The following is a 26033-nucleotide window of genomic DNA, read 5'->3' as shown; positions in this document are numbered from 1 at the left end:
ACACACGCGCGCGCGCGCGCGCGCGCGCACACACACACACACACACCCTGGCTGATTGTACAGTCAATCTTTCAAAGTGCAATTTGTCTAGGAAAAGCCAATGTGAGGCCCGTGTGCGCCCCGACCAATGGCGGCGCGGCTCCGGCGGCTCAGCCAGTCTCCGGCCTGTATTCTAATGGGCCGTATCTTTATCAGGGAAATGTTCCTTCTCTGAACTTAAAACTTCTCATGGAGGGTCCCCCGACTCAGAGGCAGAAAGGGGGTCTGAGCTGAGGCTTAGGGGGCCACCCTGTCCGGCCAGGGCAAGGAGAGAGGCCAGGAGCCCTGGGGAGGCCTCCCACCTGCCCCGAGCACCTGACTTCCGAGCAGCTGATCGGGTGCCGGTTCCTGGGCCAGGGCCTGGCCCATGCCTTAGGTGGGAGGCAGTCAGGAGCTCGGAGACGGTCCTAAGCCTCCAGGCCTGCCATGAGATTTGGGGCTAGAGAGTGGGCTCTTGGGTTTTAGGGGCCTGGAGAAGCCTTCCCTGTCCTGACTGGGAGATCATGGAGTCCAACCTGCAGGGGACGTTCCTGCTGAACAACACGCCGCTGGCTCAGTTTCCGGAGATGAAGGCCCCGGTGTGCCAGTACTCTGTGCAGAACTCCTTCTACAAGCTCAGCCCCCCAGGGCTGGGCCCCCAGCTGGCCGCCGGAACCCCCCACGGGATCACGGACATCCTGAGCAGGCCCGTGGCTGCGCCGAACAACAGCCTCCTCTCCGGCTACCCCCACGTGGCAGGCTTTGGGGGGCTCAGCTCGCAGGGGGTCTACTACAGCCCCCAGGTAGGGAATTTTTCCAAGGCTGGGAACGAGTACCCGACCCGGACCCGGAACTGCTGGGCGGACACGGGCCAAGACTGGCGAGGCGGGCGGCAGTGCAGCAACAGTGAGTACGGGTCCTCCCCAGCCACCTCCCGGCACCCGCCAGGCCCCGGGGGGCAGAGGACGAGGAGGGGCCTCCTCCCGGGCACCCTGCACCTCCGCCCTCTCCCCCAGTCGCCATTAACCCCTGGACTCGTAGCCTCAGCTCAGTGCAGGCTGAGTTCCACCCTCTCCTCCTTCCCATCCAGCAGTGCTTGGACACAGGTGTCTGAGCCACCCCCCTCACATGCCAGCCACCTCAGCTGCCCTCCTAGGGCCCCCGGCAGTTCCAGATGTAGAGAAGGCCCCACAGCCCACGCCTGCCCTGCACGAGGTCCAGTAGGCAGCCCAGCTGGCTTCTGCAGCCCAGGGCCCATGCAACCACTTCTTCACCCAAAGCAGGCAAATGCTACCCCCGTGAGGAAAATGTCCTAGCTCACCTTCCCAGAGAGCCCTGGCATCACTCAAGGGTGCAGAACGCACCCTGACCCCATCCGGGTCCAGCCTTTGAGCCAGGGGGCTGTTGCCCACCACATCCTCGGGTTTCTAGCAACAGCAGCCACACCAAGTAGCCTGTCTCGGGGAGTTGCTGCTGAGTCCAGCTGAACTTGGCCTTGGCTGTGGGGAAGCAGGGGGCCTCTTCTCAGCCGACCCATCCCTCAGCCAAGGTTTTCAGAGGGTGGGCCCGTGATGCCAGTCAGGGTTACTGGAGGAGGTGGCAGGGCAGGTGAGGCTCTGCTGGGAGGCAGGGAGGTGAGAGTTTTTGGAATCTTCTCCGTGCCACCGAAGCCCTGCCCACGTCAGGCAGGGGCCTCCATTTCTGTCTGATCTCCGGGCTCTCCTACGCCAATGGGGGCTTGGGGCCAACCTAGGGAACCCCAAAAGCACACCTGTCCCCCCATTTGCTACTCTGCCTTGCCGGTCACAGTGCCTGACAGCCACCCCTCCATGGGCTGCCACCCATCGCTGTGCCCCTGGGGGTGAAGGCCTCCTCTCTCAGATCCTGTTTTAGGCTTGGCTTCAGGGGTGCTTTAAGCCTCAGCTGACTCTCTCTTCCCTCCATCTCCCCCTCCCCTCTCCACATCCCACACACCACCTCTTCAGTCCTGAATGCAGGTACACACACAGGGACATAGCCAAGAAAGTCAGTGGCTAATGAAGGCAAAGGCAGAGAGACTTGAACATGATCTCTCAGGAGGGCTCTTCCTCTCTCTGTGCCTCAGTTTCCTCACCTGTAACTTGAGCTGTCAGACTGCACAGAACGAGGCCTGACATGTGGGAACCACTGCCCACAGCTCCTTCCCGAGCCTGCTGCCCTGGCCAGGCTGGGGGTCAGGGTCTCTGGCCTCTGTGCCAGGCTCTCCAGGGTGGTTGAAGCCACATAACTTCCAGGCCTGGTGACATGGGGAAGTGGCAGCTTGGGGCGTCAGGTTTGCCCCTCCCTGGTTTCCTGGAGACCTGGGAAGTTGAGTCTCAAGAGCAAGGAAGTTGGCGGAAGCCGGGGGTGGAGGGAATTCACAGGCCCTGGTCCCTAATTATAGGAGGAGGGTGACCTGAAGGGACATCCCTGGGACAGAGAGGGAACTCCTGTTGCCCCTCAGGGGAAGGCAACATCAGCGAGTATTGAGAACTTTAGACAGAGAGGCATGAGGCTCTGCTGCCCCTAAGTCCCATTACACTAGGGCAGCTGCCCTCTCGGAGCCCTGCCCATCCAGGCGGGGCAGAGGTCACAGTCACTGTTCCCCAATATCAAGAATGCTGCTCAGGGGAAAGGAATCTTGGTGTCCTGGAAACCTCTGCAGGAGGGAGAGGGGCAGGCATGGTGGTTGCCCTGCCAGACGTGCCTAGCCGCAGGGTCCCCACTTATTCTACTAACCCCACACTTCCTTCCTCCTGCCAGCCCCAGACCCCCTGAGTGACAGCATACACAAGAAGAAGCACACCCGGCCCACCTTCACGGGGCACCAGATCTTTGCCCTGGAGAAAACCTTTGAGCAGACCAAGTACTTGGCTGGCCCCGAGAGGGCACGGCTGGCATACTCACTGGGCATGACCGAGTCGCAGGTCAAGGTAAGTCTGTGCGGGAGATGGCACCTGCCCTGCAGGGAGGAGCCTGCCGGACAGGAGGCCACTGCGTTGGAGAGAGGTGGCCACACAACGCAGCCCCCCAGAGGGCAGCTGTCCTGGTGTCTGGGCACTGCCTGCCTGCCTAACCCTGGAGCCTGTGGTAATTAACCATAGCCGGGAAAGGCTGAGCCCCATTCTCAGAGCCTTATGTGCGGCACCTCATTTCATCCTCTCAGCAACCCGGGGGGTCGGTATCATCACCCATTTCGCAGATGAAGATCAGTGTCTCCCGGCTGGGAGAGCTGGGAGAGCTGGCAGAGCTGGGGTTCAACCCCAGATGTGGGGGACTCCAACCTGAGGCTTTCCCTCTCCCCCCGTATTTGGCCAAAAATTCCAAGCACGGTCGGCAGTCTCTGGCCCAGATTCATGCTTGATGCTCCAGTCAGCAAAAGGAGCTGACCTCAGTTTACCAATCCTTAAGATGAAGACAACGTCTCCTTCTACTAAGCAGGATCAGATGGGCTTCAGGGGCCTGGAGCCTTGTCGCCCACGCCAGGGCTAGGGAGGGTGAGCCCAGGCTCTCCCACTCCACACGCAGGGGCCCCAAATGCCCCCTAAATAGACCCGGGGAAACCGGTTTCTACCGCCTTAGAGTCTGGGGGCAACTTTCCCCACTTTGATGCTGGCTCAGTGACTCGGCGACGGGCCTAAGGATGCAGCAGGGGCAGCTGGCACCTGGGTCTAGGCTTTGCTCAGGGCCCTGGGGCCTCCCCGAGCTCCAACCCGCTGCGCCCTCCTCATCAGCCGCTCAGCTGCCCTGGGGCGAGAGCTGGGGGGAAGAAGCAGACACTCCTGCATGTCTTTCTGCTTCTGGGGTGCGTTCCTGCCCTCTTCAACTATCCCAAGCAATGGACCTACGTTACTTTTCTAACTAACTAGGGGAACAATTATTTATGAAGTAGGGTGAGGGTCTATGAAGCCCAGAGTAGGGACTGCTCATAAGCACCTTCCAATGAGCACCGGGGCTAAGCCTTCCACCCGCGCACTCCGCATCTTCCACCGAGTTCCCAGGTGGAGGAGGAGGAGGAGGAGGAGAAGGAGGAGGAGGGGGAGGGGGAGGGGGAGGGGAGGGGGAGGGGGAGGGAGAGGGGGAGGAGGCGGCGGTGGAAGAGGAAGCAAATGGTGGGGGCGGGGGGCGGAGGGGAGGGCTGCCGCGCTCACGTTTTTAAATTTTATTGTCCTTCCCCAACAGAAACGTGAATGTGACAGTCACTCCGTTGTTGAGCCATTTGTTTAGCTGTAAAAGCAGGATGGCTGTTCTCGCGTCCCGTGCGCGCTGTGCCCCTGTGCCCTTCACATTCTTTCTCATCGCAGGTGTGGTTCCAGAACCGCAGGACCAAGTGGCGGAAGAAGAGCGCCCTGGAGCCCTCGTCCTCCACGCCCCGGGCCCCGGGCGGCGCGGGTGCAGGCGCAGGCGGGGACCGCGCACCCTCGGAGAACGAGGACGACGAGTACAACAAGCCGCTGGACCCCGACTCGGACGACGAGAAGATCCGCCTGCTGCTGCGCAAGCACCGCGCCGCCTTCTCGGTGCTCAGCCTGGGAGCGCACAGCGTCTGACGCCCGCCGTCCAGGCCCGGGATCCTGGCTGCAGCCTGCGGGGGGACGCCGAGGAGCCTACCTTCCCCTCCCCTTCCCCACGCTCCTGGGGGCGCAGGGACTGAGTCTTTCTTTGGATGAGGGGCGCGTGGAGGAGGAGCAGCAGGTGCAGGGGAGGAGGAGGGGAGGCGGGGGAGGAGGAGGAAAAGGAGGGAAAGGGGACAGGCATCCTAGCTAAGGGAGGAGGAGGCCAGGAGGGAGGCACAGCACTCCTGAGACCTGGAAGCCGCTGCCCCTTGCACCTCCTCGGGCCTCGCCTGCCAGTTCTGCAGATTCACAAGTGGACAGAGGACTAAAATGACCAGGCTCTGCAGCCAAGAAACTGGCTGTGGGGTCCCAGACATGCCACTGTGATCCAGCTGTTGGGGCGGGGGGAGTGGGCAGGACTTCCCAGGGAGGGAGGCAGCTGGCTGGGGAGTCAGAAGTCCAGAGTCTTGGGCCCCAAGCCAGCTGCTGGCTGCAGAAGAAAAGACAGGTGAGTGGCCAGGTGCACTCCTCAGACCTGTGCACAGGAAGGGTCCCACTGGAGGGGCCAGAGCTGAGCACCTAACCCAGGCTGCAGGAAATCTGCCTCCAGGAGGGGAAGTGGGACATCCCAGTGGAGAAAAAATGCCCCTGACACTGCAGGATGACGGCCCCTGAGCTGCGGAAATCCCCCTGGCCTCCTTTCTCCGATTTACCCTCAGGGTCAATACCTCTGAGACCGCTGTGCCCTCCTCATCCTGACAGCCGGGGAAAAGGGGAGGGTGCAGGGAGAGGGGAGGCGGGGACGGTGTGCCCAAGGGCCACCCACCTGGGCATCATTTGGTGCTGATATAAGGACAGGCCCACCCAGAGAGAAAAAGCATCCCACCTGGGGAGGAAAGGAAGGGCTGGGAAAGACCCCAGAACGGCACCCCTCCAACAAGGCAGGAAGGGAGAAGGACAGCCCCTCCGGCTGGGTGGAGGATGCCAGGAAGGGGCTGAACCACGGCCTGCTGGGAATCACGGCCCTTCCTTTCCTCAGATCGCCTTGCGGCCTGGCACTGGAGCTGGTGCTGACAGGGACGCTGGCCAACAGGGTGGTATTTTTCACCCGGGTGATCTGAGCTGCTGGCAGGTAGGGGGTGGGCTGGGGGAGGCGGGTGAGGGCTGGTCTTAGATAGGAATGCAGCCCAGAAGGGACCAAGCACTTGCCCATCCTCACTGGCTTTCAAAAAATAAACAGTAAAAATAAAAGTCCCATGAACCTTACGGCTCCTGTGCTTCTGTGAAAGGGACCAACGGCAGGAAACTGGCTGTGAGGTCCCAGACTTGCCAGCTGTGGGGCCTTCCCCGAGGGCCGTTGTCTAGTCTCCTGGGGACATTCGTGCTCTGACAGGTTGCACAATACAAGTTATTTGAAACCTCACTGGTAGATGCCAGACACTGTCCCCAGGTGCTGAGAAACCCAAGGTGAATTTTATGGGGTCCCTGATCTCCAGGAATTTATAGCCTAGTGGGGAAGATGATCTATGTGGAGAATTGGGTATCATAAGAAAAATAAGAAGGGAGAGACTAGAAGAGCTAAGTTTAACAGAACACCTGCTAATTTCTCCCCTGTAGAATGTCTGGATTATCACTGACCCCACAAGAAAACTAGGCAGTAGGTATCATCTTCAATGCATGGAGGAGAAAACCAAAGCTCAGAAAGTTCCTAAACCAAGTCACAGAAGTGGGACGAGGCAACCTCAGAGTAGATCCCAAGGCCCTTTCAGCCACTTCCTTGGGTTGTGAAGGGCACCCTTCGAAGCCTTTTCTGTCAAATGAGAGGCTAGAACCAAAAGTAGTTTAAGGCCCTTCCAACTTCAACAATCTGTGCAACTAGCAACTAGGCTTGACCCCTTTGCTCTCCCAAGAAGTCCATCCTTGGACCCCCAGACCCCCAGGATGGGTGAACCTGGCCCTGGAACCAGCCCGAGAGGGGATGAGGGTGGAGGAAGACCCTAGCTAGGAGCATCTCAGAAAGTAGGGCACCCACCTTTCCTAAGACCCTTAGAGGACCCAGAGGACAGAGAGGAACATGACCAGAAAATGCAGAATGTGTATAAATTTCCACCCTCCATCTGTGAAGATGCCTATGCTCAGGTGTCAGTCTTTTCCCTTGAAAAGCAGAAAGGAGAAAAGAAGGGAATGGAGCACAATCTCTGTGTGCACACTGAGAAGCCGTGCTCTGTCACAAGTGTCCTGAATGGGTCCTACAGTGGCTGCAGCAGGAGAGGACCCTAGAATTCAGCACAGACTTCAAAGATAAAAAGTTTCTGTGGTTCTGGGAGGCTTGTGATTCCTGAGTGCTGCAGGCAGGAAAAGGCTATCACATAGCCCAGGTGCAAAGTCACCAAGCAGGTATGGAGGAAGATGCAAGTGACATAAAAACTGTGTTTACTTATCTTTTTCTGAAGCATGCTGTAATCTTAACTGCTCTGTTGTAGCTATAATTCCTGCATGTCTGATTCAAGTCATTTGAGGTCAGTATGAAATCAAGCCTGGGGAAAGTTTTTCCCAGGAGATATTTGCTGAGCTAAACAAAACCTCCTTTGACCTCAAAGTTCTGGGATACCTGCCACTGGAACCTTTAGCTAAAAGACTACAGCCTTCTGGGCCATTTCCTCTAATCCCACACCACCTTCCATGTGCAGACTGAACATAGGGCCAAGCACAGGAGAGGCACTGCCCCCCATTTCCCTAACAATCATGCTGAAGCATATTCAAAAGACTAGATTTGGAGTTCAAAGGAGGAGAAAACTCATATGTGGAAGACCCAGATTCCCAAGGGTCATTCAAGATAAGTCTGGCCCTCTGCAGATGCACACACATGTGAATGCATGTGCATGCCTGTGTGTGCATACATGTGTGTGTTACTTGGGAGAACACAAGGCTATCTCACTTCATCCATCATAAAGAAATCATAAGCCAGCCAGGCGTGGTGGCTCACACCTGTAATCCCAGCACTTTGGGAGGCCGAAGTGGGTGGATCACTTGAGGCCAGGAGTTCGAGACCAGCCTGGCCAACATGGTGAGAAATGGTGAAACCCTGTCTCTACTAAAAGTACAAAAATTAGCTGGGCGTGGTGGTGAGGGCTTGTAGTCCCAGATACTCAGGAGGTTGAGGTGGGAGAATTGCTTGAACCCGGGAGGTGGAGGTTGCAGTGAGCTGAGATCATGCCACTGCACTCCAGCCTGGGTGACAGAGTGAGACTGTCTCAAAAAAAAAAAAAAAAAAAAAAGAAAGAAAGAAAGAAAGAAAGAAAGAAAGAAAAAGAAAAAAAAATCATAAACTATAGGCCCCACTTTTATCCCTGCTCATAAATAGAACTTATTGTATATTCTGGGTTAAATGAACAAACATACAAAAAGCAAAAGAACTTTGGAAATGCATGCTCCCTGCAGCTCCTCTCTTACCACATCACAAACTTTTCAGAGACAAAAGGAAAGAAATTAAGTCCCACGTCCATGACAGCTGTGGTGTCTGCTCTGACAGGTGGCTCCATGGGCTCCACCAAGTAGGGACGGATTCTGCCATAGCTGTCACCTTTGTGGCTTCTGCTATTAGCAGGACCTGGGATATGTCTTCAGCAGGTCGGGGCGAGGGTGGGTGGATGTCCATGCCTTACCAGGCTCACAGTGGCCATATCCTGATGGTAACAATCAGAAAGTAGACAAAGAGGCCGGGTGTAGTGGCTCATGCCTATAATCCCAGCACTTTGGGGGGCCAAAGTGGGCGGATCAGCTGAGATCAGGAGTTGGAGCCTAGCCTGGGCAACATGGTGAAACCTCGTCTCTACTAAAAATACAAAAATTAGCTGGGCGTGATGGCAGGTGCCTGTAATCCCAGCTACTGGGGAGGCTGAGGTAGAAGAATCACTTGAACCCAGGAGGCGGAGGTTGCAGTGAGCCGAGATGACTCCACTGCACTCCAGCCTGGGCAAAAGAAAGGTGACAAAGGGCTGAAGTCCCACTTCTGGTAACCCCTCCTCATCCTCGGGCCACCCCTAGGTTTTGACCCCAGAAACCAGCTGTCCCCGCAGCATGGGTTAGGGGAAAGGAGTCAGTTAGATATGGGCTCAAACCATAGCTCCACCACTCTCTGTATCATTGGGCCAGTTACTTAACCTCTGAGCCTCGGTTTACTCATCTATAAAATAGGAATAATTCCACACACCTTGCAGGGTTTCTGTGAGATTAGAACTAATGCATGTGCCTGGCATACACAGACAGTAAACAGTAGCCCTGTATTATTCAGAGAAGGCTTTGATGTGAGTGTCAGTGTCCCCTCCAAAATTTACATGTCAAAACTTAACTCCCACGGTGACAGTATTGAGAGGTAGGGCCTTTGTGAGGTGATAAGGCCATCAGGGCTTCATCCTCATGGATCAGATTCATGCCCTTATAAAAGGGCTTGAGGGAGTGAGTTTGGCCCTTTTTGCTCTTCCATCCCTTCCACCATGTGAAGACACAGCATTCAAGTCACCAACTTGGAAGCAGAGACCAGGCTCTTGCCAGACACTGAACCTGCCAGCGCCTTGATTTTGGACTTCCCAACCTCCAGAACTGTGAGCAATAAATGTCTATCATTTATAAATTACCCAGTCTCAGATATTTTGTTAAAGTGCCACAGATGGACTAAGACGAAGGCTGGCAGTCCTGAGTTTGAATCCCCACGTCACAAAGTAGTAGCTGGGCTGCCAGGACTGGTTAGTTAAGCTCTTCAACTCCACTGTTCTCATCTGTAAAATGAAGCGGATGAACCACTTCTGCAAGACAGATGAGAAGATTCAAATGGAATCACGCACAGAGCGTAGAATACTGCAGGCACTTAAACACCGGCACACTCACACTCTCTCCTTCCTCTCAAATTCACGCCACTAGTAAGTGGTGGAGACAGTTCTAATCTGGTCTTCTCAACAATGGGACAAGCAGTTCCAAAGTTGCAGCTACCCACTCTTGTAACAGTCCTAGCAAGTCAACTGCTAGCTGGGAGGCTACAGAAGGACTCAATGAGTGACCAGATTAGTTTACCTGCAAACCTCTGAGATCTGGACTCCAGAGTAGGGGTCTGAACTAGGTGCCCCAGGCTGAATTCAGTGTGCAGATGTGTTCATTCATGGAACAGTGCTTTTATAGAAACTGTAGCTTGCCAGGTGCAGTGGCTCATGCCTATAATCCCAGCACTTTGGGAGGCCGAGGCGAGTGGATCACCTGAGATCACCTGAGGTTCGAGATCAGCTTGGCCAGCATGGTGAAACTCTGTCTCTACTAAAAATACAAAAATTAGCCAGGCGTAGTAGCACACATCTGTAATCCCAGCTACTTGGGAGGCTGAGGCAGGAGAATCGCTTGAACCTGGGAGGCAGAGGTTGCAGTGAGCCGAGGTTGCACCACTGCACTCCAGCTTGGGTGACAGAGCGAGACCCTGTCTCAAAAAAGAAAGAAAGAAACTGTAGCTTGCCTCTAGGAAGGGCGAGCCTGGCCCAGTGAGTGACCCACCACTTCCCATGTCCCACACCTGGGCTCCACAGCAACATCACCTGTCTGGCTCAGGCAGGTGTTTGAGTCTGTGCACCTGCTATAAACCTCACTATGCAAAGAAGTGGTCCGTGCACAGAAGAAGCAGCCTCCCTTGGGAAATTTTAGAAATGTGGCATTTCAGGACTTATCTCAGACCTCCTGAATCGGAATCTGCATTTCAACAAATTCCCTGCTGGTGTGAGGAGATCCAGAGCGAACATGTCTGTGTGCACAAGTGTGGACAGCACCCCTCTTCTCAGACACAGTGCCTGGATGCTATCGTTTGGATATTTGTCCCCACCATCTCCAATGTTGAGATGTGATCCCCAATGTTGGAGGTGAAACCTAATGTGAGGTGTTTGGGTCGTAGGGGTGGATGCCCTCACCAGATGCCCAGTCTCCCAGCCAGCAGAATCATGAGCCAAAGGAACCTCTTTTCTCAGCCGGGTGCAGTGGCTCACACCTGTAATCCCAGCATTTTGGGAGGCCAAGGTGGGCAGATCACCTGAGGTCAGGAGTTCGAGAACAGCCTGACCAACATGGGGAAACCCTGTCTTTACTAAAAAATACAAAAATTAGCTGGGTGTGTTGGCGGGTGCCTGTAATCCCAGCTACTCAGGAGGCTGAGGCAGGGAGAATTGCTTGAAGCCGGGAGGCGAAGGTTGCAGCAAGCTGAGATTGTGCCACTGCACATCAGCCTGGGTGACAGAGTGAGACTCCATCTCAAAAGAAAAGAAAAGAAAAGAAACCTCTTTTCTTTATAAATTACCCACCTTAAGGTATGTCTTTATAGCAACACAAATGGACTAAGACACTGGCCTAAGTTGGAGTCTCAATGAAAAAGTTGTTAAACAACTACAGATGGGTATGGGCAGATGAGCATGGGCAACACAGCTGTAACTCGACTGTGAGCAGAATAAGGAAAAGCTTCTGAGGACCAGAGGGTAGCTGCCATAGAGCCCACACAATGCTCTCCTAGGTAAGGCCAGGAGATTCAATGAGTGCAAGACTAGACTCCGAGGGTCCCATCAGTGAAGACACAGGGAAGCAAACCACTAGCAGAGGCTGAAGGAGGCAGAAGGAGAAAGCCCAGGAGGTCAGCTTCTGATAGCACTGAAAACCCAATCCAAAGTCAGAGGACATCACCAGGGCTCCTGTTTAGAATGAGGCTCCACAGTAATTGAGATTAGCTCTGTCTTTTATCTTCTGCTTCAAATGGCCAGGACAGCATAATATTCTAGAAGATTTTCATTGGAACATTACCTTGCTTAGAACAATTCATTCACCCGCTGACAATGTGCAGATAAACAAAATGGTACCAAATACGTACAAATCCTGTAATTACTATTGGATCACGTCATTTCAGCTTGGTTCTGAGATTGGGCTGGGAGTTTATGGAGGAATCTAATACAGACTTCTGCTTGAAAGGATTTCCCCTCATCCCAAGGCAGAGGTCCTGGGAATGAGGCTAAGAGGTTCCCTGAGGTCATCTCATCCCCAGGGCCTGGGAGCTCTGACAGGACCCATCTGGCATCAGACCAGGATGCCAAAGAGGTGCTTGTTTGTTCCCTACAATGCAGGAGGCCCAGGTGCAGGGGAGACTCCAGCACCTTCTAAGAAATGGGCTCGACTGGGTGCGGTGGCTCACGCCTGTAATCCCAGCACTTTGGGAGACCGAGGCAGGTGGATCACCTGAGGTCAGGAGTTTGAGAACAGCCTGGTCAATATGGCGAAACCCTGTCTCTACTAAAAATACAAAAATTAGCTGGGCGTGGTGGCGAGCACCTGTAATCCCAGCTACTGGGAAGGCCGAGGCAGGAGAATCGCTTGAACCTGGGGGGCGGAGGTTGCAGTGAGCTGAGATCATACCACTTCACTCCAGTCTGGGGGACTGAGACTCTGTCTCAAAAAAAAAAAAAAAAAAAAAGAAAGAAAACAAAAGAAGAAATGGGCTCTTTCTATTAATAAATGCCCCACATTCACACATTTATCCTCCAACAGCTGTGCGTGATTAGCACCCCCATTTTCCAGATGAAGAAGCTGAGGTAGGCAAGTTCACTGGAGTGCCCAAGGCCCATGGCTGCTCAGCGGTGATTCAGCTCCACTCCAAAGCACATGCTTTGCACCCTCACCACACTGCAACGGAACAGCCAAGCCTGCCCCACTCCTGCTGCTACTTTCTGCAGACATTTATTAAACATTCACTATGTGCTAGGCACCATTCTAGGTGCTTTACTTAGCTCATGTAATTTTCAAAAATCCATGTAAAATAGGCACTACTATTATGCCCGCTGTCTTGCCAGGACACGGCACGCAGAAGTTAAGTAACCTGCCCTAAATCACACAGCTTAATCCCGGCAGACAGACCCTGAAGCTCCCGCTCTTAACCACCATAAAAACACCATAAAAAGGGAAAGGAAAGAAGGCCTATTTGAATTAAGGCTGGGCTGTTGAACTGTTTAAAAGAAAATGAAGGTCATATGTGCTGTAAATGAAAATCTATGTAATCAACATTTGAGGTCTGCCTTTTGCCTCGCTCTGTGCTTAGAGCTGGGAATAGAGACAAGGGTGAGCTCCCTACCTTGCTGACCTCACAGTCTAGAGGAGTGCGCCAAGAAACAAAGGGAATGCGGCTGCTAGTGCTCTGAGGAATGCCTTCACTGGGGACAGAGACACCTGTGGGAGGCGGTGGTTAAGAAGCAAGAACATTAAATAATGTACACTAGCAATAATGCGACTCACAGTCGATCCACACAGCACCATTCTCACCAAAAGCATTATATCCTTTAACATATAAGGATTACTAAACATATACTTTAACATATAAGGAGTACTAAAATAAAGGTGTTTCGGTAAGAATCATCGTGTCTACATTACCTAAAATTAAGAATTCATATAATTTGAATGAGGCTGTACAGTATATGAAAAGCTGTGACCGAATTCCCATTTTTAACAATATTAATATACTCACTATCACAAGCCAAAGTTTTCTACACACTTCCTTATACATTATTATTTTTTTGAGACAAGGTCTCACTCTGTGCCCAGGTTGGAGTGCAGTTTCACAATCATGGCTCACTGCAACCTCCACCTCCTGGGCTCAAGCAATCTTCCCATCTCAGCCTCTCCAGTAGCTGGGACCACAAGTGTGTGCCACCACGCCCAGCTAATTTTTTGTATTTTTTGTAGAGACAGGGTCTCATATGTTGCCTAGAATGGTCTCGAACTCCTGGGCTTAAGTGATCCGTCTGCCTCAGCCTCCCAAAATGCTGGGATTACAGATGTGAGCCACTGTGCCTGGCTGTCTTGTACATTATTTTTTGTTTTATTAAAATGTTAATTATAAATTGACGGTTTATAATTGTGTATATCTTGGGTGTTAAAAGTGATGCTATATTTATGAATAGAATGAGGAATAATTAAATCAGGCTAATTAACAGATCCATCACCTCAAATACTTATCATTTTTTGTGATGAGAGCATAGAAATTTAGTCTCCTTGCAGTTTTTAAATGTACAATACACTATTATTAACTATATTCACTACACTGTGCAATAGAGCTCAAATAAAACCTCATTCCTGGCCGGGCGCGGTGGCTCATGCCTGTAATCCCAGCACTTTGGGAGGCTGAGGCAGGCAGATCACGAGGTCAGGAGATTGAGACCTTCCTGGCCGGGCGCGGTGGCTCATGCCTGTAATCCCAGCACTTTGGGAGGCTGAGGCAGGCAGATCACGAGGTCAGGAGATTGAGACCATCCTGGCTAACACGGTGAAACCCTGTCTCTACTGAAAATACAAAAAATTATCTGGGTGTGGTAGTGCACACCTGTAGTACCAGCTACTCAGGAGGCTGAGGCAGGAGAATCACTTGAACCTGGGAGGTGGAGGTTGCAGTGAGCTCCAGCCTGGTGACAAAAGTGAGACTCTGTCTCAAAAACAAACAAACAAACAAACTCATTTTTCTTGTCTAATTGTGTGCCCTCTGACCATCATCTCCCCACTCTCCCAACCCTTGGTCTCTGTACTTACCACTCTACTCTCTGCTTCTATGAATTCAATTGTCTGAGACGCCACATATGAGTGAGAACATGTGGTATTTGTCCTGTGATTGATTTATTTTACTTAGCATAATGTTCTTCGATTCCATCCACGATGTCGCAAATGACAGGATTTCCTTCTTTTTTAACACCGAATAATATTCCATGATGACATATACCACATTTTCCTTATCTACTCATCTATGATGGACACAAGTTGATTCCAAATCTTGGTCATTGTGAATAGTGCTGCAATAAACATGGGAGTGCAGGTATCTCTTTGATATATTGATTTCCTTTCCTAGTAGGGGACTGCTGGATCATATGGAAGCTCTGGTTTTAGTTTTAGGAATCTCCATGCTGTTTTCCACAATAGCTAATCTAATTTACATTCCTACCAAGAGCAGGCAAGGGTTTTCTTTACTTCACATCCTCAACAACACTTGCATTTTTGATAACAGTCATTCTGACAGGTGCGAGGCGATAGCTCATTGTGGTTTTAATTTGCATTCCCTAATGATTAGTGAGGTGGAGCATTGTTTTTTCATGTCTGTTGGTCATTTGTATGTCTTATTTTCAGAAATGTCTATTCACGTCCCAGGCCCATTTTTTAATTGGGTTATTTGTTTTCTTGCTATCGAAGTGTTTGATTTGTTTTGGGGGTTTTTGTTTTGTTTTGTTTCCTGAGACAGAGTCTCGTTCTGTCACCCAGGCCAGAGTGCAGTGGTGCAATCTCAGCTCACTGCAACCTCTGCCTCCCAGGCTCAAGCAATTCTCCTGCCTCAGCCTCCCGAGTAGCTGGGACTACAGGCACCCGCCACTATGCCCGTCTAATTTTTGTATTTTTAGTAGAGATGGGTTTCACCGTATTGGCCAGGCTGGTCTCAAACTCCTGACCTCAGGTGATCCACCTGCCTCAGCCTCCCAAAGTGCTGGTATTACAGGCATGAGCCACCGCGCCCGGCCTTCTGTTTGAGTTCTTTATCTATCTTGGATAGCCCTTCACTAGATGTATAATGTGCAAATTTATTTTATTTTATCTATTTATTTATTTAGAGATGAAGTCTTGCTCTGTCACACAGGCTGGAGTGCAGTGGCACCATCTCGGCTCACTGCAACCTCCACCTCCTGGGTTCAAGCGATTCTCCTGCCTCAGCCTCCCGAGTAGCTGGGACTACAGACACAAGCCACCATACCTGGCTAATTTTTGTATTTTTAGTAGAGAAGGGGTTTCACCATGTTGGCCAGACTGGTCTCAAACTCCTGACCTCAGGTGATCCACCTGCTTCGGCCTCCCGAAGTGCTGGGATTACAGGCATGAGCCACCACGCCTGGCCTATTTGCAATTTTTTTGTCCCAGTCTGTAAGTTGGATTCTTACTCTCGTCATCATTTCCTTTGCTGTGCAGAAGCTTTTTCATTTGATATGACCCCATTTGTCTACTTTTGCTTTTGTTGTCTGTGCTTTTGGGATCAAAGCCAAAATATCATTGTCCAGACCAATGTTGTGCAGTTTTTCCCTTATGTTTTCTTTTAGAAGTTTTAGAGTTTCTGGTTTTACATTTAAGCCTTTAATTCAATGTGAGTTGATTTTTGTATGTGATGAGAGATAAGAATTTCATTTCACTCTTCTGCATGTGGATATCCAGTTTTCCCAACGCTATTTTTTGGAGATAAATGCTTCCCCCATTGTGTGTTCTTGGCATCTTCATAAAAAAATCAGGCTGAGCATGATGGCTCACACCTGTAATCTCAGCACTTTGGGAGGCCAAGGTGGGCAGATCACTTGAGGTCAGGAGTTTGAGACCAGCCTGGCCAACATGGCAAAATCCTGTCTCTACTAAAAATGCAAAAATTAGCTGGACGTGGTGGTGGGTGCCTGTATTCCCAGCTACTTGGGAGGGTGAGGCAGGAGAATCACTTGAACCCAGGAGGCAGAGGTTGCAGTGAGCCAAGTTTGTGCCACTGCACTCCAGCCTGGGAGACAGAGTGAAACTGTGTCTCAAAAAAAAAAATTAGTTGCCCATAAATGTGTGGGATCATATCTGGGCTCTACTCAGTTCCATTGTTCAGTGCTTCTATTTTTATGCCAGTACCATGCTGTTTTGATTACTATAGCTTTGTAGTATGGTTTGAAGTCAGGTAATGTGATGCTTCCAGCTTTGCTCTTTTTGCTCGTGATTGCCTTGGCTATTCAGGATTTCTTGTGGTTCCATGTGAATTTTAGGATTGTTTTTTCTATTTCTATGAAAAATGACATTGAAATTTTGATAGGGATTGCATTCTTGAACATTATTTCTTGTAATTCTCCAACTGACCATCCAGTTTTATTCCCAATTTGCAGATGAGAACACTGAGGCATGCAGTGCTGAGAAGACTTGTCTGAGGCCAGAACTCTAGTAAGCGTGAGGCCTGGGGCTGACACCCTGCCTTCCAGCTTTCATCCAGATCTGTGTCCGCTCCCCAGGTGTATAAAAGCCTGAAATTCCAAGCTACAGTGGACACAAGAAGATGAGAGGACATCCTCTAACCAAAGGCACACTGATCAAATGTGTTCCAGTTCATTTTCACAGCAAGCATCATGTTTACTGGAGTGGTTCCTGCTGTTTTATAGCTAGCTGCCAGTATTCCTGGATGGAGCAGATACCCCACAGCAAGCAATGTTCATGTAGGCAGCTTCCCAACCCGCCTGATGACAGGACTGGTCAGACACGTAGACCCCAGAGCCAGCAGGGATATTCGGACCCAGTGGGAGGTGGGAGGGGAGGGGAGGGGAGGGGCAGCCAAGGAACCTGTCTGGTTAACAAGGGCCTCAGGGACTGGCGACGGAGGCATGTCAGAAACAGTGATTTTTTAAAAAAAAATTTAAGTTCTGGGACACATGTGCTGAACGTGCAGGTTTGTTACATAGGTATACATGTGCCAAGGTGGTTTGCTGCACCTATCAACCTGTCATCTAGGTTTTAAGCCCTGCATGCATTAGGTATTTGTCCTAATGCTCTCCCTCCTGGGAAAGAGTGATTTTTAAAGCCCAATTTGATTTAAATCCATATGTTTTGGTTCTCCCTGCCCTCTATGGAGTTGTCCACATATGACCTAATTGATTTCTGTGGTTTTTCCTTCTTCCCCAGATGACAAAGATACGAATGACCCAGAAAGGTGGCAAGGGTGAAAGACAGAGCAATGACAGGTCCAGGTGTCCTGCCGCGCAATGCCTGCAGAAGGTCTTATGGAAGAAAACCTCCGTAGGCTCTTGGGGTTTAAGATTGTATTTATTTATTTTCTCAAGAGACCCTGCTTTAGCAGAATTTGCTAAATTGCTGCTGCTCAGTGCTGGAAAGAAGGCAACGCTGGCCTTACAATTCTAGCATGGCTCTGCCTGAGAGCTGGTGCTTCTGTTCGGTGGAGGCCTGCTGCATCTGGCTGCTTGTGGCATGGCCTGGTCTGCCTCCCACCAGGTGAGGGGGTCCTCAGGAGATCCTAGCAGTCCCTGAATCTGGAACAGCCTGAGACTGGAACGACTCCACCCCTGCACCCGCTTTCGTGATCTGCCCCCGGCTGTTTTGCTGAGAAGAGAGGCTGTAGGACTTCTTATTCAAGCTGTGCTGAACCTACAAAGTCACAAGGCAGAAACGGCTCTGATCCAGTCTTATTGCCACATCACTCACAGGCCCAGGAGTCCCCTCCCTTAAAGTCACGGGCATCCTTCATGGAACCAATGCTCCTCTGCCAGCTGTCCCACCTCAGAAGCCCCAGCTTGTCCTCTCCGATACTATTTTTTACTCTTCAGAGCCATAAAGCAAAGACTGATCCTATATTTGACCTTGGCCTTGGGCACAAATGGAGGGAAGTTATGGTTTGCACAGGTAGGAGGAGAGCTTCTGGTGACTGGCAGGGGTAGGGGTAGGGGCAGGGGTAGGGGCGGACTGACTAGGGACCCCATTTGCAGGTCTGTTGAGAAGTTCTCCTTGTCAGAAATAACCCCAGGGGCAGGACACAAAGAGCCCACATTCTTTATCCAATAACTCCTTGATCCTGTTGCCGCTAGGGAAAGGCACCAGTGCCCAAGGAGGAGCCGTGGTGTTGGAAGCAGCATGGGGAGGCTGCTTCTCTTCCCAAGTCCAGCAGCCTGCAGCCTCCTTCCCTCCGCCAGCCCAGAAGGCATGTGTTCCAAAGCCCCTCATTAGGCCTCTCTTAGCAAGCAAACAAGTATCATTAATCTTGGTAAAGTGAGTGAAAGCACATTCACCTGTCCGAGCAAGAGAATTAATGTTGTGTCAATAGGAAATCAGTGTTTACCCCAGCCTTTCTCTCTTCCCTTTGCTACAAAAAGCCCAGGCAGGGCCGAACAGCCCCAGTGCCAGACAAGGGAAAAACAAAAACCCAACATGCAGGGGCCGGGGTGTGGTGGAGCTGGGAGGGCAGGGGCAGGAAAGCCCCTCCTGAGGGTGAGCTCTTGGGTGCAGAGGACAAAAGCCCTCAACCTCAGACAAGGCGGCGGGGGGTGGTGACCACAGGGCCTTGGGGTCAGAGGCTGTCATTGGATTGTGGGTCCCTAGGAGGACATGATACCCCCAGCCCAGCCCTACAAACAGAGGTGTCAGTGGGAGATACCGCCTTTCCAATGCACATGCCTGTGGCTCTCTCCCTCCATGCCTGCAGTTACATGGAACTGTTACAGGAAAGGGGTCCCGATCCAGACCCCAAGAGAGGGCTCTTGGATCTCTCACAAGAAAGAATTCAGGGTGAGTCCATACAGTAAAGTGAAAGCAAGTTTATCAAGAAAGTAGAGGAATCAGGCCGGCCCCGGTGGCTCACGCCTATAATCTCAGCTCTTTGTGAGGCCAAGGCAGGTGGATCACTTGAGGTCAGGAGTTCAGGACCAGCCCGGCCAACATGGTGAAACCCCGTCTCTACTAAAAATACAAAAATTAGCTGGATGTCATGGCAGGTGCCTATTGTTCCAGCTACTCAGGAGGCTGAGGCATGAGAATTGCTTGAACCTGGGAGGCAGATGGTACAGTGAGCCGAGATCGCACCACTGCACCCCAGACTGGCGACAGAGCGAGACTCTGTCTCAAAAAAAAAAAAAAAGTAGAGGAATAACAGAATGGCTACTCCATGGACAGAGCAGCCCCGACAGCTACCGGTTGCCCATTTTTATGGTTATTTTTGATGATATGCTAAACAAGGGATGGATTATTCATGCCTCCCCTTTTAGACCACATAGGGTAACTCCCTGACATTGCCATGGTATTTGTAAACTGTCATGGCACTGGTGGGAGTGTAGCAGTGAGGACAACCAAAGGTCACTCTCGTCACCATCTTGGTTTTGGTGGGTTTTGGCGGGCTTCCTTACTGCAACCTGTTTTATCAGCAAGGTCTTTATGAGCTGTATCTTGTGCTGACCTTCTAACTCATCCTGCGACTAAGAATGCCTTAACCTCCTGGGAATGCAGCCCAGCAGGTCTCAGCCTCATTTTACCCAGCTCCTATTCAAGATGGAGTTGCTCTGGTTCACAGGCCTCTGACAGAGCTGCATGGGCTGAGTGGGACCAGGCAAGTGACAAAGGAGCTGCTGTTCATTACGCCTACTAAGTGCCAGGTGCTGTATGGGGCCTGAAAGGTAATCTCCAGGAGTCCTACAGAGCAGGTATCCATTCTACCTTTCTCTCAGATAAGGAAGAGATATTACTGTGCCGAAAAACTCAAGATGCCAGCCGCGAAGACATACATGGAGGAAGCGGGTATGAACCCAGGCCCCACCCAAAGCCAGCGTTCCCCAGTGATCATCGCAGACACACACACATTCACTCCAGGAAGGATCAGCCCCAGCTCGGGAGGTCAAGAGTAAAGCAAACCCCCTGGGTCATTCCCCGCCATCCCCTTAAGCCTGGGCAGGCCTGGCTGTGGGAGGGTCCGGGAGAGGCAGGGTTGGGACTGTGCGTGCCTGAGGCAGGGTTGGGACTGTGCGTGCCTGTGTGCCCCAGGAAAAGAAACCCAGCAGGCCGATAAGATCTCTGTTTCCAGAGCAAAGCACCAATTAAACACAAGGCAGATGTGAGCAAATAAAACTGTGGCGTCCAGAGAGAAAATCAATACTAGATTATATGTCCCGGCCCAATCATATACCAATTAATACCAGAGGGTGGGGTGAGGGAGATAAGTCCATGGCCAGAACCAGGGCTGGCTGTGCCGGCCCCCGAGGCCCACGCCCTCCAACTTTCCAGAATGTGGGGTGGGGGGCCGGGGGCAGCCCTTCTCAGTAGGGACTGGGACCCCTGAGTCTCAAGGGCCTGGGCTTAGCTCTCTGCGGAGCCCCGTGAGCCGGAAGCATGGAGGAGGGGAGGAAATGTCCATCTGCACGGGGCCCACTGGGCCTGCAGACAGGGGTAGGGGAACAAGGGCTGCTGTGGGAGGGTGGTGCTCCCAGGAAGAAGCGGGTGACCCAGACCCTGCGGACAGTCTGCGGGATGGTTAAAGCACCCCAGAAGAAATAAGAGGCTTGCTCTTGGAAAGTCATAGGAAACTAGGCGAACATGGGAAAACTGGAAAACACAGTTCTCACCCCAAGAAGTGAGGTTGAAGTCTCTGGTTGTTCCATCCATATTTTATTGAATGAGAAGTACAGCCAAGTAGTTAATAAATCATTTTCCAGAGGGGTGACAAAAGACAGGCAGTGAAGGCTTGCAGCACAGGAGCCAGTGACAGTGACAGTGGGTGTGGAGTGGCGCTGCCCAGGACATTCTGTGGAAGGGCTTCAGGCCCATCACTGGGTGCCGGGGAAGAGGCAGCATGACACAACCGCTGCCCGCCAGCAGACGGAGTGTACCCAGCATAGGGGTCCCCTGCCCCAGGGAGGTGGTTTTGGCATTGTCAGAAGGACAAGTCAAAAGTGCTCATGTCCCAGGGAGGGGAAATCTGGCTGTGGGCTCAGGGGCCGGATGTTGGGAGATTTTGTGGAAATGGACAGTTGCTTTAGACCCTCTGTCCTGGCCTCACGGGGCAGTTACAGACTGTCAAGTCCCCTTCCACAAAAACTCCCAAAGTCCTTGGGGAAATCAGACCCAGGATGTGTAAGAAACAGAACAAAAGTGGAAGGAAAGGTGGCAAATCACTGATGAGCCAGGCACCTGCGTCCAGTGTTGCCCTACCAGAAGCCCCTGGCCAGAGCTCCTGCAGTGGCCTGAATACTCCCTGCACACGAGTCCCGGAGGCAGAGGCCTTTTCTGAGTGGGAGTTTCATGGGCCACGGACTGTTGCATGCCAAAGAAAAGCAAAATTTGCCAGCCGAATATTTTTTAGACATTTTGCAAGATGCACGGCCTCCCTGACAATTTTTAATGTACTAACTGCCTGGTCCAGTGAGCTGATTAATTGGTGCTGGAGAGATCAATAAAAAACAGAAAATTAAAACAATTTTAAAGTGATTAAGTAGTTTAACACCTGTCTCCCGTCACGTCAGCGCAGGAAGAAAAATAAAGCAGGTGTCGAAGGGGCCTCCTGAACCAAGAGAAAACAGCGCCTGCCTGGGAGAAATGACAAATCACAGCTGGCGGATCAATCTGCGTATGCACAGCCCTTCCCCAAGCCCACGCCGAGCAGCAGGAACCGGGACCCCGGCCCCAGGCTGGGCCCTCCCAGCCTCTCTTTCCAGCCTCTCCTGCAGAGGCTGAGCAGGGCCTCCGTGCCCCCCACCCAGCCCTGACTCCTCAGCAGGGAGGAGCAAGGTGTTTGTCTGTATTTGGAACACAGGGCAAGAGGGTGCAGAGGGAGCCTCCGAACATCTGCCTAGGACTCTGGATGAATCAGAAGGAAAGGCACCAGTTAACCTCTTGATCTCACATCCAGCCATCCAGAGCTGAGTCTGTGCATATGGAGGGGTTCAAATGCACTGAAAGTGCATTTTCGTCACCTGGGCAAGGTGTGTCACACCTGTAATCCCAGCACTTTGGGAGGCCAAGAAAGGAAGATTGCTTGAGGCCAGGAGTTCAACATCAACCTGGGCAAAATAGTGAGACCCTGCCTTTATAAAAATTTTTAAAAATTAGCTCAGTGTGGTGGTGCGCCTGTAGTCCCAGTTACTTGGGAGGCTGAGGCAGGAGGATTGCTTGAACCCAGGAGCCCAGGCTGTAGTGAGCCATGAACATGATCACACCACTGCACTCCAGCCTGGGCAACAGAGTGAGACCTTGTCTCTTAAAACAACAACTGGGCCGGGCGCGGTGGCTCATGCCTGTAATCCTGGTCAGGGGTTCAAGACCAGCCTGACCAACATGGTGAAACCCTGTCTCTACTAAAAAATACAAAAATTAGCCAGGCATGGTGGCACGTGCCCTGTAATACCAGCTACTCAGGAGGCTGAGGCAGGAGAATTGCTTGAACCTGGGAGGCAGAGGTTGCAGTGAGCTGAGATCATGCCATTGCACTCCAGCTTGGGTGACAGAGCAAGACTCTGCCTCAAAAAACAACAACAACAACAACAAAAAACCCCAAAGAAAACCCAAAAAATGCATTTTGGGACCTGTGGGTTCAAGGGAAGGGAGTGCGGTCATGGCTACTCTTGGAATTACCAGTTCTCCTTTCTTACTCTAAAGGCAGACAGAGCCTCCTGACATCCCCCTTGCTGTGGCTTCCTGCTGGTGACATCAACAGGTGGTACAGGTACCTGCCGGGTGATGGCCCAAATGCCCCTTGTCCTGCCTTTAGCCAACCTCACTCCCTGATCCCCATCAGCAGCTGTAATGGCAGCTGACAAGCAAGAGCCATTCCTTTCCCAGTTTAATGTATTTGACTCCTGCATAGGAAGTAACCTCATGGAGTACGAGAAAGCCTGAGATGGTTCTTCAGCCTCCCCAGCAAAGTGCTCCTAACAGTGCAGTGGGATGGGTGTGGGCACAGGAAGTGAGGTGTCGGGGAGCCAGCGCAGGCTAGAGGGAAGCCCCCAGTGAAGCGTTTCAGAAGTGTCCTGCTTAACCCTGAAAGTGGACTTGAAGTCTCTATGTGTAAAATGCCAGGTGCTCCTACAGTTCCCCGTGTGCTGGGAATCCACAACCATGGTGTCCTCCGGCTTCGCTGGCCAGCCTGGCACATTCCTGGGGGCGGGGCTGGAAGTCCTTGGAAGAGAAACTAGGTCCTTGACCAGCCTCCTGCACATGGGCACAGCCTGGACCACACTCCTGAAAACCACTCTACTAGCATTTGCCTGCTCTGCGGGACATTCATACCTGTTTGTTTTCTGCCGTCCAGCTTCCTAACCGCCTTCAAGGTCCCCTGAGACCAGGAGAGAGAAGGAAATCCTAACAACCCCAGAGAAGGCCTGCAGTAGGTTGGAGCGCACTAGGGCCTGCAGCCACACTTCTTACTGAGAGTCCTGCTGTCAAAAGCCCTTGTGTGTTCCTACCTGCCACACTAAGCATGAATGGGAAGTCCGCAGCAGCAGCCTGGACGAGGGAGGGTCAAGAAGAAGGTGTTCCAACTATTTGCTTTAATAAAAACGTTTACTAGAAACACTAGAAAGTGTTTTCCCCCTCCCGCTCCCCCTCTCCCTCTCCCTCTCCCTCTCCCCACGGTCTCCCTCTCCCTCTCTTTCTACGGTCTCCCTCTGATGCCGAGCCAAAGCTGGACTGTACTGCTGCCATCTCGGCTCACTGCAACCTCCCTGCCTGATTCTCCTGCCTCAGCCTGCCGAGTGCCTGCGATTGCAGGCACGCACCACCACACCTGACTGGTTTTCGTATTTTTTTGGTGGAGACGGGATTTCGCTGTGTTGGCCGGGCCGGTCTCCAGCTCCTAACCGCGAGTGATCCGCCAGCCTCGGCCTCCCGAGGTGCCGGGATTGCAGACGGAGTCTCGTTCACTCAGTGCTCAATGGTGCCCAGGCTGGAGTGCAGTGGCGTGATCTCGGCTCGCTACAACCTCCACCTCCCAGCCGCCTGCCTTGGCCTCCCAAAGTGCCGAGATTGCAGCCTCTGCCCGGCTGCCAACCCGTCTGGGAAGTGAGGAGCGTCTCTGCCTGGCTGCCCATCGTCTGGGATGTGAGGAGCCCCTCTGCCTGGCTGCCCAGTCTGGAAAGTGAGGAGCGTCTCTGCCCAGCCGCCATCCCATCTAGGAAGTGAGGAGCACCTCTTCCCGGCCGCCATCACATCTAGGAAGTGAGGAGCGTCTCTGCCCGGCCGCCCATCGTCTGAGATGTGGGGAGTGCCTCTGCCCCACCGCCCCGTCTGGGATGTGAGGAGCGCCTCTGCCCGGCCGCGACCCCGTCTGGGAGGTGAGGAGCGTCTCTGCCCGGCCGCCCCGTCTGAGAAGTGAGGAGACCCTCTGCCTGGCAACCGCCCCGTCTGAGAAGTGAGGAGCCCCTCCGCCCGGCAGCCACCCCGTCCGGGAGGGAGGTTGGGGGGGGGGTCAGCCCCCCGCCCGGCCAGCCGCCCCGTCCGGGAGGGAGGTTGGGGGGGGTCAGCCCCCCGCCCGGCCAGCCGCCCCGTCCGGGAGGGAGGTGGGGGGGTCAGCCCCCCGCCCGGCCAGCCGCCCCGTCCAGGAGGTGAGGGGCGCCTCTGCCTGGCCGCCCCTACTGGGAAGTGAGGAGCCCCTCTGCCCGGCCACCACCCCGTCTGGGAGGTGTACCCAACAGCTCATTGAGAACGGGCCAGGATGACAATGGCGGTTTTGTGGAATAGAAAGGGGGGAAAGGTGGGGAAAAGATTGAGAAATCGGATGGTTGCCGTGTCTGTGTAGAAAGAAGTAGACATGGGAGACTTTTCATTTTGTTCTGTACTAAGAAAAATTCTTCTGCCTTGGGATCCTGTTGATCTGTGACCTTACCCCCAACCCTGTGCTCCCTGAAACATGTGCTGTGTCCACTCAGGGTTAAATGGATTAAGGGCAGTGCAAGATGTGCTTTGTTAAACAGATGCTCGAAGGCAGCATGCTCATTAAGAGTCATCACCACTCCCTAATCTCAAGTACCCAGGGACACAAACACTGCGGAAGGCCGCAGGGTCCTCTGCCTAGGAAAACCAGAGACCTTCGTTCACTTGTTTATCTGCTGACCTTCCCTCCACTATTGTCCTATGACCCTGCCAAATCCCCCTCTGCAAGAAACACCCAAGAATGATCAATAAAAAAAAAAGTGTTTTCCCTTTCCTACAACTTCCCCTGGGTAAGAATTCTGGTTGTATCGTCAGTGGTTGGGTTGATCTATGTAAGACCATCTGTTTGGGGCCATATTTGTCTCGATAAAGTGCCAAACTCTTTACAGCAAACTCTATGCCAATGAAAATCTCACAAAAAGGCATTTCCAGTCTTCAGCTATTGGCCCACACTGTAAGAAATAATCCACACAGCCCGATTGCTGCAAAAGACTGTCTCCTGCCACATCTTCCTGCCACAGGTGACTCTGGTGGCGATTTGGCCAGGAAGGAAGCTAAAGGGTCCTGCCACACGAGCTTCTCTTGTTGATGACAGATGTCTGCTGACAAAGGGTGCCTGCCCCAGGGTGCATCCCCAGCTGGGAGAGGGCCGGTACGTGCCATCTCAGAACGCAGCCCAGCAGAGGCATCCAGCCCTGGCACCTGGGCACTCTTGGAGGCCAACACAAAGTTCTCAACTCGGCGCCCTCCAGCCTGCAGCTGATCCCTGCAGAGTAAGCCTCAGGCTGACGGAGATAAAGTTTGCCTGGGCCCAAGTTCCAAACTCGGCCGTTTTGTTTCTGTTAAAATGCAATTGTTTTTCTCTGGAGTGTGTGGTGACTGCTCCGCGTCAGGAAGATGTATGAAAACCTCCACTTCAATTCGGCATCCCTTTTCTCCCAGACAAACACGGTCGGATTTTAATAAATCAAAGAGCCA

At 52.5% G+C, this 26033-nt stretch overlaps 1 protein-coding gene across 2 annotated transcripts, besides 2 other annotated features; it reads left to right on the top strand.

Moving 5' to 3' along the window:
- The first annotated feature begins 217 nt into the window (after positions 1 to 217).
- On the top strand, positions 218 to 5858 carry NKX6-3 (NK6 homeobox 3). Of its 2 annotated transcripts, NM_001364841.2 has the most exons (3): positions 218 to 924; positions 2800 to 2969; positions 4341 to 5858. In NM_001364841.2, exons 1-3 carry the CDS (start codon positions 543 to 545, stop codon positions 4584 to 4586), a joined length of 798 nt encoding a protein of 265 aa, NP_001351770.1. In that variant the 5' UTR covers positions 218 to 542; the 3' UTR covers positions 4587 to 5858. The 2 variants fall into 2 exon arrangements, with proteins under 2 accessions (NP_001351770.1, NP_689781.1); NM_152568.3 differs by lacking the exons at positions 218 to 924; positions 2800 to 2969 and adding an exon at positions 3676 to 3841 and having other exon boundaries at positions 4341 to 5857.
- Positions 4246 to 4475: a silencer, noted in NCBI's record as "silent region_19146". NCBI's record gives its function as "represses an Ori minimal core promoter by ATAC-STARR-seq in GM12878 lymphoblastoid cells {active_cell/tissue: GM12878}" and the evidence as "EXISTENCE:reporter gene assay evidence [ECO:0000049][PMID:35858748]".
- Positions 5790 to 5849: an enhancer, noted in NCBI's record as "active region_27291". NCBI's record gives its function as "activates an Ori minimal core promoter by ATAC-STARR-seq in GM12878 lymphoblastoid cells {active_cell/tissue: GM12878}" and the evidence as "EXISTENCE:reporter gene assay evidence [ECO:0000049][PMID:35858748]".

The sequence above is a fragment of the Homo sapiens genome, chromosome 8, assembly GCF_000001405.40.
Source record: "Homo sapiens chromosome 8, GRCh38.p14 Primary Assembly".
Classification (NCBI taxonomy): Eukaryota; Metazoa; Chordata; class Mammalia; order Primates; family Hominidae; genus Homo; species Homo sapiens.
The sequence above is the reverse complement of the archived record's forward strand: the minus strand, read 5'-3'. Positions and strand labels throughout refer to the sequence as shown.